The 19,297-nt window shown below is 45.0% G+C and overlaps 1 long non-coding RNA gene across 2 annotated transcripts in view, besides 1 other annotated feature; it reads left to right on the plus strand.

Annotated features, from left to right (window-relative positions):
• LOC112268087 (uncharacterized) overlaps nucleotides 1-14,514 on the plus strand; it is a 35,807-nt gene extending 21,293 nt beyond the window's left edge. For both annotated transcript variants that reach the window (XR_002957391.2, XR_002957390.2), the window contains one exon: nucleotides 14,335-14,514. This is a non-coding gene — a long non-coding RNA (uncharacterized LOC112268087). The remainder of the gene's footprint in view (nucleotides 1-14,334) is intronic.
• Nucleotides 3,511-3,810: an enhancer, noted in NCBI's record as "active region_7119". NCBI's record gives its function as "activates an Ori minimal core promoter by ATAC-STARR-seq in GM12878 lymphoblastoid cells {active_cell/tissue: GM12878}" and the evidence as "EXISTENCE:reporter gene assay evidence [ECO:0000049][PMID:35858748]".
• Nucleotides 14,515-19,297: the final 4,783 nt, after the last annotated feature.

The following is a 19,297-nucleotide window of genomic DNA, read 5'->3' on the forward strand; positions in this document are numbered from 1 at the left end:
GAACTCCTGACCTCAGGTGATCCGTCCACCTTGGCCTCCCAAAGTGCTGTGATTACAGGCATAAGCCACCGCGCCTGGCTGATCTGATGGTTTTATAAACGGGAGTTCCCCTGCACATTTTCTCTGTTGCCTGCCACCATGTAAGACGTGACTTTGCTCCTCCTTTGCCTTCCATCATGATTGTGAAGCCTCCCCAGCCATGTGGAACTGTGAGTCCATTAAACCTCTTTCCTTTATAAATCACCCAATCTTGGGTATGTTTTTATTAGCAGCGTGAGAACAGACTAATACAGATAGTATGCCACTATATGACATCTGCAGTCCACCAGATGCTGGTGCTAGTAGAGACACTTGGAAAGGGGAGGCAAACCTGCTTAAAGGATACATTTAAAGCTTAAAAGGATAAATTTCTAATTCTCCAAGGGGAGAGGGGTCAGACAGATGTCCTGGACCTACCACCTGGTGGCCATGCTGATCTCTCTGAAGATTGGTACCATATTGAGCCCTCCTGCCAGCAGCTGGATACTTAGCAACGGCAAACCTAGAGCATCCTTGGTGGACCCATGTTGTTGGATCCACACATGGTCTCCATCCCTCCCGTCATGGCCACTATGTTCATGGCCCCACACTGCAAGCTGTGAGGGCGTCAGGCAGCCAGACGCATTGAAGATATAATGTCTTATTCTTTTTGTTTAACCAGCATATGGCCTTTTACATAGTGGTTACTCAATAAATATTTTTGAATTTGATTTATTTATGCAACATTTATTGAACTCCTACAATGTGATAGACAATGAGATAGGTTAAGAATACCAACTTGCTTTGGAGGCCAAGGCGGGTGGATTGCCTGAGCTCAGGAGTTCGAGACCAGCCTGGGCAACATGGTGAAACCCTGTCTCTAGTAAAATACAAAAAATTAGCCGGGTGCGGCAGCATGTGCCTGTAATCTCAGCTACTCCGGAGGCTGAGGCAGGACAGTTGCTAAAACCTGGGAGGCAGAGGTTGCAGTGAGCCAAGATCATACCACTGTACTCCAGCCTGGGTGACAGAGTGAGACTCTGTCTCAAAAAAAAAAAAAAAAAAAAAAAAGAATATCAACTTGGCTTCCTCAGATAGTAATGCAAAACAAAATAAAACAAAACCAAAAAAAAAAAAAAACCAACTAAAGTATCTGTCCTGTGTTGCAGGTTGGGGTCTCAGGACACAGACAATCAGAAGGAGTTTGGGGGGCAAGGTGTTTAAAGAATGGAAAAAGTCAGTCTGCAATGCAAGCCTAACAGAGTATTGGTCAACCCAGCAGGAAGCTCCTGGGCCAAGATAGCCATCTCTCTCTCTCTCTCTCTCTCTCTCTTTTTTTTTTTAAACTTTTTTTGTTTTTCTGAGACAGGGTTTCACTCTGTTGCCCAAGCTGGCATGCAGTGGCACGATCACAGATCACTGCAGCCTTGAACTCTGGGGTTCAAGCAATCCTCCCACCTCAGCCTCTTGAGTAGCTAGGACTAAGGCGTGCACCTCCACACTCGGCTAATTTTTAAAACTTTTTGTAGTGACAGGATATCATTATGTTGCCCAGGCTGGTTCTGAACTCCTGGGCTCAAGCAATCTTCCCACCTTGGCCTCCCAAAGTGCTGGGATTACAGGCATGAGCCACTGTGCACAGCCTAGCCATCTCTTTATATGCCCTCATCCTTCAGCCCAGATGCAGGCTGCCCTAGGAAGGGTCTGACCTTAAGTGAGTCTGACTCTAAAGGAGCTGCCAGCTGGAGGCCATCTCCTGACCACACTCCCCACAGCGGGGTGGCAAGTTCCTCCTTAAAGGATTTGAGTAGCCCATGTCTGCGTCTACCAGAGTCCACCTCTTGCTGTGCACAGATCCAGGTTTCCATACACTTTCAGGGACTAGCCCCTCCCTTCCATGGGTCCAGTGGGCCCTTCTTCCTTTTTTTTTTTTTTTGAGACAGAGTCTCGCTCTGTCACCTGGGCTGGAGTGCAGTAGCACAATCTCAGCTCACTGCAACCTCTGCCTCCAGGGTTCAAGCGATTCTCCTGCCTCAGCATCCTGAGTAGCTGAAACTATAGGTGTACGCCACCATGCCCGGCTAATTTTTGTGTTTTTAGTAGAGGTGAGGTTTCACCATGTTGGCCAGGCTGGTCTTGAACTCCTGATCTCAAGTGATCCACCTGCCTCGGCCTCCCTAAGTGCTGGGATTACAGGCACGAGCCACCGCACCCAGCTATGGGCCCCTCTTCCTAAGGAAGAACTCAGAGAAAGAAGCTTACTGGGATGAACCACAGCCTTTGCTGCTGCGATCGGTCTCAAGGTTGCAATTCACACTCATCCTCCCTTTCCTCCACTACCCATTCTAGATGCCTCCCCAAGCCTCAGCTACTACCTTTGCTGGCTTTAGTGTCTTAGCTGGTGATATGATTCGGACTCTCATCTCTAGAGCTTAACACGCAGGACATTTTTTAGGGAGCATTTTCGGCATCAACATCTGTGGGGGAAGTGAAGGAAGCAGGATTGGACAGAAAGAGAAGTTGGGATATATCACAACTAGATTTCAGCTGATGCCACAGGGAGCTTTGAAGCTGTGCTCATCTATCAGAGCTGTCTCTGCTGGGACAAGAGGACCAGGCTTTGATTATCTCTGCCTCAGCCTTTCCTTGAATACAGGCTGCCATGGGAGATTGAATGTGATGCTGGGTGTGATGCCTTTCTTCAGCCAAGGGCAATTTCCAGAAAGGGCTGACAGCTGAGACTGGCAACTGTGGCATCTGCCAGCAGCATTCCCAGAGGCTAGGGCAAAAGTCCTTCAGTCCTAAAGGGGAGATCGGAGTGGCGCCAACCACAATAAACCCCATCTGTGTCCACGACTCAATTCTTGTCTCTCTTTGCCTCTCCAGCTCCTCATCGGAGTTGTCCCTCACCAACTCCTCTTTCCAGACTTCTTTTTTATTGTGGTAAAATACACATAACATAAAATGTACCATCTTAATCATTTTTAAAAATGTATTTACTTTTTTTCTGAGATAGGGTCTTGCTCTGTCACCCAGGCTGGGGTGCAGTGACATGATCTTGGCTCACTGCAACCTCTGACTCCCAGGTTCAAGCGATTTTCCCACCTCAGCCTCCTGAGTAGCTGGGATTTCACCAAACGGGGTTTCACCATGTTGGCCAGGCTGGTCTTGAACTCCTGACCTCAAGTGATCCAACCGCCTTGGCCTCCCAAAGTGCTGGAATTACAGGCATGAGCCACAGCGCCCGGCCTTATTTACTTTTTTGAGACAGGGTCTCCCCCTATTGCCCAGGCTGGAGTGAAGTGGTATGATCACAGCTCATTGCAGCCTCAATCACCCAGGCTCAAGCAATTCTCCCACTTCAGCCTCCCAAGTAGCTGGGACTACAGGCACAAGCCACCACGCCCAGGTAATTTTTGTATTTTTTGTAGAGACAGGGTCTCACTATGTTGCTCAGGCTGGTCTTGAACTCCTGGGCTCAAGCAATCCTTCCACCTCGACCTCCCAAAGTGCTAGGATTACAGGTGTGAGCCACCATGCCCAGCCCATCTTAACCATTTGTAAGCGTACGGTTCAGTGGTGTTATGTGAATTCACATTGCTTTGAAGCAAGTCTTCAGAGTGCTTTCATCTTGCAAATCTGAAACTCCACACCCATTAACAAGAATTCCCCGTTCTCCCTTCCCCCAGACTCCTGCAACCGCCATTCTACTTTCTGTCTCTATGATTTTGACCACTCTTCATACCTCGTGTAAGTGGAATCCTGCTATAGTAATATTTTTGAGAATGGCTTATTTCCTCAGCATAATGACATGAAGTTTCATCCATATTGTAGCTTGTTAAAATTTGCCTTATATTTAAGATGGAATCTTTTATATATATATATATATATATATATATATATATATATATATATATATATATATCTCCCCATTTTGTATATCCACTTATCCATCGAGGGACACTTGGCTCACTTCCATCTTTTGGCTACTGGGAATAATGCTGCTATGAACATGAGTATATATCTCTTCCAGGTCCTGCTTTCAACTCTTTTGGATATGCCTGTATCAACAATGTTTTTATCCAACATGGGCTTATCTCTCATTGGCTTAATTTCTTTTAGGCCCAGATAGAGGTGAGGATGAACTGTCTACTGTCTCCATAGAGAGGCAAGTCTGATAAATCAGAACATTCTGGGTTAGGCGCAGTGGCTCACACCTGTAATCCCAGCAATTTGGGAGGCTGAGGCAAAAGGATCACTTAAGGCCAGGAGTCCGAAACCAGCCTGGACAACATAACAAGACTGTGTCTCTACAAAAAAAGCGAACACTCTGGTTGGGTCAGGTTGATGAATATAAAACCTGGTTCATGATTAATTTTGAGCCATCATATGCCATCCAATAATTTCTGTTTTTTCCACCAAAGAAAAAGAAACCACCCGTAAAGGAAATTTCCCACATGCTGCGGGAACCTGCTTCACCTTTTGTTATCCCAACTCCCAAGGTTAGTTAATTACAAACAGGACTTTGAGAAACAGCCTTTATGATGAAAGAAAATAAGGCTAAGAGACAGGCTCATTAAATGAGACATTAGGCCGGGCACAGTGGCTCGCACCTGTAATCCCAGCACTTTGGGAGGCCAAGACTGGTGGATCGCTTCAGCCCAGAAGTTCAAGATGAGTCTGGGCAACACAGTGAAACCCCATCTCTACAGAAAAATACAAAACTTAGCTGGGCATGTTGGCATGAGCCTGTAGTCTCGGCTACTTGAAAGGCTGAAGTGGGAGGATTGCTTGAGCCCAGGAGGTTCAGGCTGCAGTGAGCTGAGATTGCACCACTGCACTCTAGCCTGGGCAACAGAGCAAGACCCTGTCTCAAAATAAATAGATAAATAAATAAATGCCAGGCTCGGTGGCTCATGCCTGTAATCCCAGCACCGTGGGAGGCCGAGGCAGGCAGATCACGAGGTCAGGAGATCGAGACCATCATGGCCAACATGGTGAAACCCCATCTCTCCTAAAAATACAAAAATTAGCCAGGCGTGGTGGCACATGCCTGTAATCCCAGCTACTCGGGAGGCTGAGGCAAGAGAATTGCTTGAACCTGGGAGTCAGAGGTTGCAATGAGCCGAGATCGCGCCACTGCACTCCAGCCTGGTGACAGAGCGAGACTCCATCTCAAAAAAAACAAAGACATTAAAAGAGACAGACCAGCTCACTAAATCATACTGAAGCCAGTGAGGGTATCTTTGGAGTGATGAGGGAAAAACAGGAGCTGGCAAGGGAGAGAAAAACGCTGGGTGGGGAGGTTGGGCAGAGTTAAGAACATTTTGCCAAGAATCTAATCGTACATCATTTTGTTGCCCAGTTGTAGATCTACACTAAGCAATGCCTTAGATTTTTTTCTTTTCTTTCTTTCTTTTCTTTTTTTTTTTTTTTTTTTTTTGAGACAGAGTCTTGCTCTGTCACCCAGGCTGGAATGCAGTGGCATGATCTCCGGTCACTGCAAGCTCCGCCTCCCGGGTTCAAGCGATTCTCCTGCCTCAATCTCCCAAGTAGCCAGGACTACAGGCCCGCGCCACCACACCTGGCTAAGTTTTGTATTTTTAGTGGGGATGGGGTTTTACCATGTTGGCCAGGCTGGTTTCGAACTCCTAACATCAAGTGATCCACTCGCCTTGGCCTCCCAAAGTGTTGGGATTACAGGCGTGAGCCACTGCACCCAGGCAGCCTCAGATTTCAAACAGCAGAAAAATGAAAAGTGTGCTCCTTATGAATTTTTAAAAAATAACTCAGGCTTCTGGTCTAGGATCTATAAATTTGGAAGAACACATACACTTCAGGGTTTATTTCTTCTGTTTTTGTTAAGGTTAAACCTAATCGGCATGACTCAAGCCAAAAGTTGAAAGAGGTGTCAGGTCTTTTGAGCTTTACTTCACTGCAGGTAGCCAGCTGGAATGGGAAAGTGATCAAAGTAAACTTAAAACCTTAGAATTCATTTTCTTAAGGAAATTCTTAACTCGGAAATTCACCCACACAGAGCTATGTGCGAGTGGATAATTGATACTGAATACATTAATGGCAAAATCGTATTCATGCTTCCTAAAATAGCAGAATTGTACCATGGGTAGTTGGGAAGAAGGCTAAAAAATAAATAACAGAAAGATCTTCATACCGCAAAAGACTCATTTTTTTTAGAGACAGGGTCTCACTCTGTCGTCCAAGCTAGGGTGCAGTAATGCAATCCTCCTGCCTCAGCCTCCTGAGTAGCTGGGTCTACAGGCGCATGGCAGTTCTCCCAGATAATTATTTTTACCTTTTTTTTTTTTTTTGAGATGAGGAGTCTAATTATGTTGCCCAGGATCGTCTCAAACTCCTGGCCTCAAGTGATCCTCCTGCCTCAGCCTCCCAAATAGCTGGGATTACAGCAGTGAACCACCAGCTTTTTTAGCCAGCCAGCTAAAAAACAAATTTATTTTGTGAGACAGGGTCTCACTTTGCTGTCCAGGCTGGAGTGCAGTGGCACGAACGCAGCTCACTGCAGCCTCAACCTCCTGAGCTCAAGCAGCCCTCCCACCTCAGTCCCCAAAGTAGCTGGAACTACAGGTACATACCAGCATGCCTGGCTAATTTTTTCTATTTTTTGTAGAGACAGAGTTTTGCCATGCTGCTGAGGCTGGTAAAAGACTAATTTTTAACCAGCATTTGTAATGATACTAGATGATTATGCGGGACCTCTCAAGAATGTGTTCTGAAAAGATCAGTCAACCCTAAAGGTTACATTGTTAGGTTTCAATTTTTAGTGAGCTGTAGGATACCAACTTTGGTAAAATTATCTTCTTGGGATATCCATTTTTGTGAGAGCAATTGTATGTGCTGCTGTACCTGTTCTCAGTTTCGTATTATGGTTCTATACCTTAGATGATTTGCCTGAGGTTCATTTCAGTAAGAAAAAGAAATTGGCAAATAATAATGGAACACAAACAAGAAAACCCAGTACATCTCTGACTTTCTCCACAGTTCTCCCTTTCAACATTGGCCTAACCATGGACAAACTTAAAACATTCCCTTTAGCAAAAGTGAGATCATCTGTCATTTTCAAAAGAAGATATTCCAATAAACAAATGAAATACCAAAAGCAAGAAAAAAAAATGCCAGGTTGAAAAATTTAGGTTTCTGAGTTTCTGATCTTGTAAAAGCTTCCTAGCTTACTGAGACAGTTGCTGCTGATTTGACAGCCTACTCAAACAATTTCCTCATTGAATTTTTCTGCTCTTTCTCCTTTGATTCCTGTATTTGCAACCACCCAAAAGTGGGTACCAGTCATGGAGAACTTCAGGAGAAAAGTGAACAAAAAGCAAGTGAGGTTGGCAGCCCGGGCCCATACAAGTAATGTACTCTTCACTCTTCTCCAGGTAGCTTCAAAATAGAAAAGCTTCCCCTCGCACCTGTAGCCCCAGCTACTCGGAAGCTGAGGTGGGATGATCGCTTGAGCCTGGGAGGTTGAGGCTGCAGTGAGCTGTGATCTCACCACTGTACTACTACAGGCTGGGCGACAGCGTGAGACCCTGTCTCAAAAACAAACAAACAAGCAAACAAACAAACAAAAAGCTCCTTCCTTCCTTAGGAAATTGTCAAAGGTCGGTTTCCTATAGTAACAGTTTGTGGTCACACCAAATTTGGAACCTGTATTACACAAGAGTCTAATGAGATTCCACAACCTAGCTTGAGTCCTGCAGACTTAATCTTAGCCTTTGAGTCAAATTCCATTCGTATAAAAAGAAAAGTAATTTTTAACATGGAAGTTGCAGCTGTCTTTGATATAAAATTGTATCCTTCACTTTTCACTTTCAAAACTTCCTCTCACTGAAACAAACTATCCAGATTTATTTTTAGACATCTCAAAGAAGCCCAGTTACCGTAATAACCTAAGTGTTAAATTAAAGGCAAGAACTTTCTGTAAATATTGTTACTACAGGTTGACGTAAATTACCAATATAGCAGATAAGCTTAAGTCATCACAGATTAAATTCTGCTTTTATGGTTAATTATAATAGAATGATAAGCTTATTTGTGTATCATTTATTCAAATCTGGACGTTCATCAGAACCACACCCAAACCATCCTATTTAAACCACATTCGAGCCTACCACCCCAATTTTTAAAAGCAGCCCACAGCCTGTAAAGTCGGTAAATAATTCTAGTGTCTGGACTGGGCTTAGTGGCTCATGCCTGTAATCCCAGCACTCTGGGATGCCAAGGTAGGTGGATCGCTTGAACCCAGTAGTTCAAGACCAGCCTGGGCAACATGGTGAAACCTGGTCTCTACAAAAAATACAAAAATTAGCCAGGCGTGGTGGTGGGCACCTGTAGTCCTAGCTTCTTAGGAGGCTGAAGTGGGAGGATCACCTGAGCCTGGGAGGTCAAGGCTGTGGTGAACCATGATTGTGCCACTGCACTCCAGCCTGAATGACAGAGTGAGACCCTGCCTCAAAAATAAATAAAATAAAATAAATAATAATTCTAGTGTCTGGCAACCAGCATTTCAGAGAATGTTCTTTGATATTTAATAAAATCCTTCAGTGCAATTAAAGAGTAATTGAGGCTGGGCACAGTGACTCACACCTGTAATCCTAGCACTTTGGGAGGCTGAAGCAGGTGGATCACTTGAGGTCAGGAGTTCGAGACCGGCCTGGCCAACATGGTGAAACCCTGTCTCTACTAAAAATACAAAAAATTAGCTGGAAATTGCTTGAACCCAGGAGGTGGAGGTTGCAGTGAGCCGAGCTTGGGCCACTGCATTCCAGTTTGGGCGACAGAGCAAGACTTCATCTAAAAAAAAAAAAAGAAAAGAGTAATTGATCACCACCTTCTATAAAATAACAGAGTATGTTATTACTTCTCTCAGGTTAGATAATCCTATTCACTCACATTTTCTTTGTAAGTTCCATTTAGCAATTTTATCCATATTTTGTGAGTCTCTGAACCATTGGCTCGTTTTGGTGTCATGTATTAACACATAATTAGTAACAAAATAAATGGCGACTAGTCCAGCTCCCTGCTTCGGTTCCCCTGGGCCAAGCCTGATTTTGCTCCAGTAGAAACAGTCAGTGCCTGTCCCAGGCTTTGATCAGCTTCATTCATTCAGTCAGTGCCTGTCCCAGGCTTTGATCAGCTTCATTTCATGTTATTATTTCTGCCCCCCAAGCCCTGAAATATCTTATATAGTGGTTATCACCCATGCCTGATCCCCTAATTTAGCCCCAGAATTTCCCCAGTCTCATCCAAACTCCTGAAAATGGCATAAAATTCTCTTTCTGTCATTGGCCTATAATTTCTTTTTCTTTTCTTTTTTTTTTTTTTTTTTTTTTTTTTTTTGAGACAGAGTCTCCCTCTGTCTCCCAGGCTGGAGTGCAGTGGCAAGATCTCAGCTCACTACAACCTCTACCTGCTGGGTTCAAGTGATTCTCCTGCCTCAGCCTCCCAAGTAGTTGGGATTACACGCATGCACCACCAAGCCTGGCTAATTTTTGTATTTTTAGTAGAGATGGGATTTCACCATGTTGGCCAGGCTGGTCTTGAACTCCTGACCTCAGGTGATCCGCCCTCCTTGGCCTCCCAAAGTGCTGGGATTACAGGCGTGAGCCACCGTGCTCAGCCTTGGCCCAGAATTCTTAAAAGGGACAATAGAGAAAACAACAGACAAAGTGACAACAAACAGGCCTCGTATGACCTAAAAGTTTTGTCCCTTTTGGCCTCTCTCAGTCAATTAAATTCTACAACTTAAGAGCTTTGCTTTGGATGTTGACAATAAATTTCTAGGAAGGTTAAAACATATGCATATGTAATCCACAGCCGTTATCAGTAATGACTGCATTGACATCAATAAATTTCTCATATTGACATCATAAATGTCTTTACTGACATCATAAATTTCTCAAACAGTAACTTTACTGGGTTGTGGGAAGCCCGGATCTTAGGGTACTACCTGGGGTTGGGGGTGATTTGTCTCACCATAGTAGAAAATCTGGAGGGTGTAGCGTGCTTGGAAGCAGGGGAAGAGGCACCAAAAGAAGAGGTGAGAAGACAACCAAAATAAATCTTTCATAATGTTTTTTTTTTTTTGAGACGGAGTCTCACTCTGTCACCCAGGCTGGAGTGCAGTGACATGATCTCGGCTCACGGCAACCTCTGCCTCCCAGGTTCAAGCGATTCTCCTGCCTCAGCCTCCCAAGTCGCTGGACTACAGGTGCCCGCCACACACCCAGCTAATTTTTGTATTTTTAGTAGAGATGGGGTTTTGCTGTGTTGGCCAGGCTGGTCTCGAACTCCTAACCTCAGGTGATCCACCTGCCTCGGCCTCCCAAAGTGTTGGGATTACAGGCATGAGCCACCATGCCCAGATGAATCCTTCACAATTTTATTTATACTTTGAGAATAAGAGTTATGCAAGCTGGGGCCGGGTGCAGTGGCTTATGCCTATAAATCCCAGCAATTTGGGAGGCCAAGGCAGGAGAACTGCTTGAGTCCAGGAGGTTGAGGCTGCAGTGAGCCACGTTTGTGCCACTGCACTTCAGCCTGGGCAACAGAGTGAGACCCTGTCTAAAAGAAGAAGAAAAAAAAAGTTGTGCAAGCTGGGCATAGTGGTGTGCCTGTAGTCTCAGCTACTTGGGAGCCTGAGGTAGGAGGACTGCTTGAGCCCAGGAGTTTGAGGCCACCCTGGGCTACATGATGAGACCCTGTCATTCCCCCACCACACACACACACACACACACACACACACACACACACACACACACACACAGAATTATGCAGATTTCAACAGAAAAGAAGCTTGCCTATGTGCTCTATGAGGTCAGACTTTGCCTATTAAGAGATTTCATAAGGTAATAATACCTTGGAGAATTTGTCATCAATAACAAGATTCAACATTTATATAGTAGTTGTTATGTGCCTGGCCATGGTCTGAAAGTCTTAGAAATCTGATTTTGGGGCCAGACGTGGTGGCTCACGCTTGTAATCCCAGCACTTTGGGAGGCTGAGGAAGGCGGATCATGAGGTCAGGAGTTCGAGACCAGCCTAGCCAACATAGTGAAACCCCGTCTCTATAAAAATACAAAAAAATTAGCCGGGTGTGATGGTGGGCACCTGTAATCCCAGCTACTCGGGAGGCTGAGGCAGGAGAATTGCTTGAACCCGGGAGGTGGAGGTTGCAGTGAACCAAGATTGTGCCACTGCACTCCAGCCTGGGCAACAGAGTGAGACTCCATCTCAAAAAAAAAAAAAATGAAATCTGATTTGCTAGCACATGCCTGTGGTCCCAGCCACTCGGGAGGCTGAGGTGGGAGGATCACTTAAGTCCAGGAGGCAGAAGCTGTAGTGAGATATGATCGCATCACTGCAGTCCAGCCTGAGGGACAGAGTGAGACCCTGTCTCAAAAGAGAAAGAAAGAAAAAGTAGAATGACCATATGATCTGGCTATTCTACTTCTGAGTATAAAACCAATAGAAAGCAGGACTCAAGAGATATCTGAACACCCATGTTCATAGCTGTATTGTTCACACTAGTCAAAACATAGAAGCGGCCGGGCGGGTGGCTCACGCCTGTAATCCCAGCACTTTAGGAGCTCAAGGTGGGCGGATCACGAGGTCAGGAGATCGAGACCATCCTGGCTAACACTGTGAAACCCCCCTCTCTACTAAAAATACAAAAAAATTAGCCAGGCATGGTGGTGGGTGCCTGTAGTCCCAGCTACTCGGGAGGCTGAGGCAGGAGAATGGCGTGAACCCATGAGGTGGAGCTTGCAGTGAGCCAATATTGCGCCACTGCACTCCAGCCTGGGTGACAGAGTGAGACTCCATCTCAAAAAAAAAAAAAAAAGAAGTAGAAGCAACCCAAGTGTTCATGACAGACAAACTGATAAACTACGATATACACATACAATGGAATACTATTTAGTCTTAAAAAGGAAGGAAATTCTGACATATGCTGCAATATGGTTGAACCTCTAGGACATTATGCTAATTGAAATAAGCCAGTCACAAAAGGGCAAATACTGTATAATTCCACTTATATATGAAGTACCTAGACTCAAATTCCTAGAGACAGAAAGTAGAATGGTGGTTGTCAGGGCTGGAGGGAAAAGGAAAAGGGGAGTTACTGTTTAATGGGGACAGAATTTCAGGTTTCTTTTTTTTTTTTTTTTTTTTTGAGATGGAGTTTCACTCTTGTTGCCCAGGCTGAAGTGCAATGGAACGATCTCAGCTCATTGTAACCTCCGCCTCCCAGGTTCAGGTGATTCTCCTGCCTCAGACTCCCGAGTAGCTGAGACTACAGGCACACACCACCACGCCCGGCTAATTTTTGTATTTTTAGTAGAAACAGGGTTTCACCACGTTGGCCAGGCTGGTCACGAACTCCTGACCTCAGATGATCCGACCGCCTCAGCTTCCCAAAATGCTGGGATTACAGGCGTGAGTCACCGCGCCCGGCCAGAATTTCAGTTTTGCAATATGAAAAGAGTTCTGTGTATGAATTTTGGTGACGGTAGCACAACAATATGAATATCCCTAACTAATGAACTACACCTAAAAATGGTTAAGATGGGGCCAGGTGTGGTGGCTCATGCCTGTAATCCCAACACTTTGGGAGGCTGAGCAGGTGGATCACTTGAGTTCAGGAGTTCAAGACCAAGCCTGGCCAACATGGTGAAACACCATCACTGCCAAAAATACAAAAATTAGCTGGGCATGGTGGCACATGCCTATAGTCCCAGCTACTGGGAAGACTGAGGCAGGAGAATTGCTTGAACCTGGGAGGCAGAGGCTTCAGTGAGTCGAGATTGTGCCACTGCACTCCAGCCTGGGTGACAGAATGAGACTTCATCTCAAAAACAAAAACAGGGGCTGGGCACGGTGGCTCATGCCTGTAATCCCAGCACTTTGGGAGGCCGAGGCAGGCAGATCACGAGGTCAGGAGTTCGAGACCAGCCTGATCAACATGGTGAAACCCTCTCTCTACTAAAAACACAAAAACATTAGCCGGGCGTGGTGGCATGCACCTGTAATCCCAGCTACTCAGGAGGCTGAGGCAGGAGAACTGCTTGAACCCAGGAGGCAGAGGTTGTAGTGAGCCAAGATCACGCCATTGCACTCCAGCCTGGGCAACAGAGTGAGACTCCGTCTCAAAAAAAAAAAAAAAAAGAGATGAAGGAAGGGAGGAGGGGAGAGAGGGAGGGAGGGAGAGAGGGAGAGAGGGAGGGAGGGAGGGAGGGAGGGAGGGAGGGAAGGGAAGGGGAAAAAAGGCCAGAAGGAAGGAAGGGAAAGAAAGAAGGGGGAAAATAAAAAAGGCCAGGCGCGGTGGCTCACGCCTGTAATTCCAGCACTTTGGGAGTTCGAGGCAGGCAGATCATGAGGTCAGGAGTTCGAAACCAGCCTGGCCAACATGGTGAAACCCCGTCTCTACCAAAAATACAAAAAAATTAGCTGGACATAGTGGTGCGCGCCTGTAATCCCAGCTACTCGGGAGGCTGAGGCAGGAGAATCACTGAACCTGGGAGGCAGAGGTTGCAGTGAGCTGAGATCAGGCCACTGCACTCCAGTCTGGGCGACAGAGCAAGACTCCGTCTCAGAAAAAAAAAAAAAAAAAAAAAAAAAAAAAGCTTCTCTATGATGACTTATGCCTTTTGTTTTTTGTTTTCAAACCTGAGCTGTTTTCACAAGGCCAATACATCAGCTCCTATATTTGCCCTCATATTGTAGTGTAACCGGTTTGTCCTGTTGAATTTCATCCAGTATGAGACTCCCTATTTTTTTTTTTTTTTGAGGCGGAGTTTATTCTGTCACCCAGGCTGGAGTGCAGTGGCGCGATCTCAGCTCACTGCAACCTCTGCCTCCCGGGTTCCAGTGATTCTCCTTCCTCAGTCTCCCAAGCACCAGGGACTAGGGACTACAGGCGTGCGCCACCACACTCAGCTGATTTTTGTATTTTTAGTAGAGACAGGGTTTCACCATATTGGCCAGGCTGGTGTCGAACTCCTGACCTCGTGATCCACCCGCCTCGGCCTCCCAAAGTCCTAGGATTACAGGCGTCAGCCACCACGCCCTGCCTGAGACTCCCTATTATATGGTGTCATTGTATCAGCTATACCATAGAAATGTGCAACACGGAACACAGCATCTCAAAAATACAAACAACATTGTTACTACTTGCCAATTAAAAGAACAGACTTTCAATCAAGTTTCATGGTTGATAAACAAAGCAATTGGATATTGGGTTGACATTAACTTTGACAATTTTAACATACTTGTTTTTTTTAGATCTGCAAGAAATACATCTACCAGCTGGGTGCAGTTGAACAAAATCATTACAGGATTAGCAGTTTTCTGACCCACTTACTAAAAAGAAGCTGAATCACTGAATTGAGACCCCAGGGAAATGCAGATTTATACCTTTGATGTATTTCTTGATTTTTCTTAAATTAAATTCTATAATCAGTTTTTGAGTCTTTGCCATCTATCTTTTAATTGGGTGATTTCATATGTCTTCTTGAATATAAGCCTTTTCAAAGTTTTGATTTTCTGTAAATGCAAATGCATAATAAAACATACATATAGCTTTGTTCTATGCAATTATTTTCTAAACCCATCAGGAAGGCCTGCTTCTTTCCATCATCCCTTCCTTTATTAGATAGGGAGTGGGTGGGAGAAGTTGGCTGTCAGGAAAAGGAGTCCCATGCACTTTGATGTAGATGGGAGTTGAGGAAAATGGGGAAATGGTCACTTGATCCACAGGCACAGAACCCTGTTCAGTTCCCTGTCCCACTGCCAGATCTACCCCAATGGTTTTCCAAACATGGGACGATCTTCCTCCTCCTGTCAAGTGTTCTCATTTCTTCTCCTGCATCAATTGTAGTTTTCTCTAGGATGCTTTCTGCTGGATGAGGAAGAACTTTGCATTTTCAATCCCACTGATACATTTGTCATCAACTCACTCTTTTTTTGTTTGTTTTGTTTTGTTTTGTTGAGACAGGGTCTCATTCTGTCACCCAGGCAGGAGTGCAGTGGTGCAATCTCTGCTCACTGCAGCCTCAACCTCCTGGGCTCAAATGATCTTCCCACCTCAGCTTCTCAAAGTACTGGGATTACAGGCATGAGCCACCGTGTCTGTGTGAACAACTCGCTCTCATCATTGCTATGTATATTGATTTCACGCTTGCCTTTTTCCCTATATAGGTGAGAGGTCCTTGGCCATAGCCAAATCAAAGGGCCTAATTATCTGATTCTTGCTATTTTTCCAGTTTTCCTGTTTCTGGCAAGACACCATCATTCTGTTTGTTGTCCACATTGGTAACCTCAGAGGCATCTCTGAATCCTCCTTTTTCTTCATTCTCACTCTCTAATAGCTGATCAGACTCCAAATTTAGCAATTATTTCTCTTGTTTATAACATCTCTGACCTCTGTCTTCCATTCCATCAGAACTTCCATATAGATTCTTCCAGCAGTATTGTAATTGTTCTCCCCGACTCCTGACTCTCACCTTGAATCTATCTTTCACACCAGTGCCAGGTTAGTCTTCCTGAAGTACAGATTTATTCAGATTTCCTCACAGTTTCAACATGTCCAGTGGCTCCCCATTGTATCTAGCACTGTCTCCCTTCTCTGAATTTTTTATTATTTATTTATTTATTTATTTATTTTGAGAAAGGGTCTCACTCTGTCTTCCAGGCTGGGATTGCAGTGACACGATCTCAGCTCATGGCAACCTCCACCTCCCAGGCTCAAGCATTCCTCCCATCTCAGCCTCCTGTATAGCTGAGCTTACAGGCACATGCCACACGCCCAACTAACTTTTGTATTTTTTGTATAGACAGGGTTTCACAGGCCGGGCGTGGCGGCTCATGCCTGTAATCCCAGCACTTCGGAAGGCCAAGGCAGGTGGATCACTTGAGGTCAGGAGTTCAAGACCAACCTGGCCAACATGGTGAAACTCCATCTCTACTAAAAATACAAAAATTAGCCGGGCATAGTGGCATGCACCTGTAATCCCAGCTACTAAGGAGGTTGAGGCAAGAGAATGGCTTGAACTTGGGAAGTAGAGTTTGAAGTGAGCCAAGATTGCACCACTGCACTCCAGCCTGGGTGACAGAGTGAGACTCTCTCAAAAAATAAAGAGATAAATAAATAAATAAGACATGAGGTGTTGCCCTCTTGCCCACGCTGGTCTTGAACTCCTGGACTCAAGCAATCCTCCTGCCTCAGCCTCCCAAAGTGCTGGGATTACAAGCATGAACCATTGCACCCAGTCCTGTTTATGTTTTTTTTCTTCTTCTTCTTTCTTTTTGAGACAGGGTCTCATTCTGGAGTGCAGTGGCGTGATCTCGACTCACTGCAGCCTTTGCCTCCAGGGCTCAAGCGATCCTCCTGCCTCAGCCTCCAAGTAGCTGGGACTACAGGTGTGCACCACCATGGCCAACTAATTCTGGTTTATGTTTTCTATTGTTTATTAAGTTATAAACATTTTGAGGGTAAGGATCACAGCGTATACATATATGTTTCCCCCACATAATCTCCAACTTATCACATGATAGCCTCTATGCGATAAATGTTTTGTATGAGTATAGAGGTTAACACAAACCATGTGGACCATATTAATATGTAACAAATCTGGTATTCTGAGATCAAGAGTTTTTGTTGGTTTTTTGTCTTTAACATCTTATTGAGTAAACTCTGACTGTGTCTTAGCAATGTACTAAGTGCTTTAGACACATTATTCGTTCATTATAAAAATGTATCAAGTTCCTACAAGCCTGGAAAACATGGTGAACCCCATCTCTACTAAAAATACAAAAATTAGCTGGGTGTGATGGCGCCTGTCTCTAGTACCAGCTACTCAAGAGGCTGAGGTGGGGAGCATTGCTTGAGCCTGGTAGGCAGAGGTTGCAGCAAACAATGATTGTGTCACTGCACTCCAGCCTAGATGGCAGAGTAAGACTCTATCTCAAAAAAAAAAGTATCAAGTTCCTATCATATGTTAGGAACTGTGCTGGGCCTTAAGACCCACTAGTAACAAAATTATTTACTTACATAGTGCATAGAAAGGTTAACTAACTTTCCTAGGGTTATTTTGGCTAGTAACTGAGGGAGCCTTGACTTGAAACCAGAGCTTACTCTAGAAACCATGTTCTTAACCACTATATTAAATTTCCTGTGGTGTGAATTATGGACATGCCTTGGTGACGCCATGTCCATTTTTTTTTTTTTTTTTTTTTTGAGACAGAGTCTCGCTCTGTCACCCAGGCTGGAGTGCAGTGGCATGGTCTTGGCTCACTGCAACATCCACCTCCTGGATTCAAACAATTCTCCTGCCTCAGCCTCCCGAGTAGCTGGGACTACAGGAGCCTGCCACCATGCCCGGCTAATATTTTGTATTTTCAGTAGACACAGGGTTTCACCGTGTTAGAGAGGATGATCTCAATCTCCTGACCTCGTGATCCGCCTGCCTCGGCCTCCCAAAGTGAGCCACCGCGCTCGGCCCACACTCTTACACAAACACTGATGGAATACTCCTTGAGGATGAGAATCACGTTTTCTAAATTTTTTTTTTTTTTTTTTGAGATGGAAACTCACTCTGTCACCCAGGCAGGAATGCAGTGGCGTGATCTTGGCTCACTGCAACCTCCACCTCCCAGGCTCAAGTGATTCTCCTGCCTCAGCCTCCCGAATAGCTGGGACTACAGTCATGAGCCACCACGCTTGGCTAATTTTTGTATTTTTTGTAAAGACGAGTTTCACCATGTTGACCAGGCTGGTCTCGAACTCCTGACCTCAAGTGATCTGCCTGCCTTGGCCTCCCAAAGTGCTGAGATACAGGCATGAGCCACCATGCCTGATATGTTTTCTAAAATTTTCTAAAATCCTGAAATTCTCATATAATGAGATAATAATACCAAACGCACACCAACCGTCAATTGTGTCTCAATAAATACTGGCCAACTGCCTTGGTAACTATATAATTCAATAGATTTCCTTATAGTTTAGAAACTTTAAAAAATTATTTTGCTGGCTGGGTGTGGTGGCTCATGCCTGTAATCCCAGCACTTTGGGAGGCCAAAGTGGGAAGATTGCTTGAAGCCAGTCATTTGGGACCTGCCTGGTCAACATAGCGAGACCCTGTCTCTACAAAAAATATTTTAAAATTAACTGGGCATGGTGGCACATGCTTGCAGTTTTAGCTTCCTGGGAGGCTAAGGCAGGAGGATTGGTTGAGCCAACGAGTTCGCAGCTGCAGAGAGCTACGATTATGCTACTACACTCCAGCCTGGGCAACAGAGCAAGACCCTGTCTCTAAAAAATATAAGTGTAGGCCAGGCGCGGTGGCTCACACCTGTAATCCCAGCACTTTGGGAGGCCGAGGCAGGCAGATCACGAGGTCAGGAGATCAAGACCAACCTGGCCAACATGGTGAAACCCTGTCTTTACTAAAAATACAAAAAATTAGCCAGGTGTGGTGGCACACACCTGTAGTCCCAGCTACTCGGGAGGCTGAGGCAGGAGAATTGCTTGAACCCAGGAGGCAGAGGCTGCAGTGAGCCGAGATCATGTCACTGCATTCCAGCCCGGGTGACAGAGCAAGACTCCGTCTTAAAAAAAAAAAAAAAAAAGGCCAGGCACGGTGGCTCATGCCTGTAATCCCAACACTTTGGGAGGCCGAGGCAGGTGGATCACCTGAGGTCAGGAGTTCGAGACCAGTATGGCCAACATGGTGAAACCCCGTCTCCACTAAAAATACAAAAATTAGCCAGGTGTGGTGGCAGGCGCCCGTAATCCCAGCTACTGGGGAGGCTGAGACAGGAGAATTGCTTGAACCCAGGAGGCAGAGGTTGCAGTGAGCTGAGATTGTGCCACTGCCCTCCAGCCTGGACAATAAGAACAAGACTCCATCTCAAAAAAAAAAGAAAAAAGAAAAGAAAAGAAAAAATATATATATTTATATAAATATATAAAATGTGTGTATATATATATATATACATTACTTAATGGAAAAATTAACTATTAAGATAGTTGCATTACACCAACTATCTTTCCAGAACACTTAATATTCACATATATCCCACACCTACACATGTGCCCCCCACACAAACATAGCTACATTTTCTAGGACATGATTAAATTTTGACCCTTTAGAAGATGACTATTCCTCTGATCATAGGAAGGCACCAAGAAATCCATAAAGGCTTTTTACATAAAGTGAGAAGTGTAGCAGTAGCAATGCTAACACAA

This window comes from Homo sapiens, chromosome 12 (assembly GCF_000001405.40).
Source record: "Homo sapiens chromosome 12, GRCh38.p14 Primary Assembly".
Taxonomy (NCBI): Eukaryota; Metazoa; Chordata; class Mammalia; order Primates; family Hominidae; genus Homo; species Homo sapiens.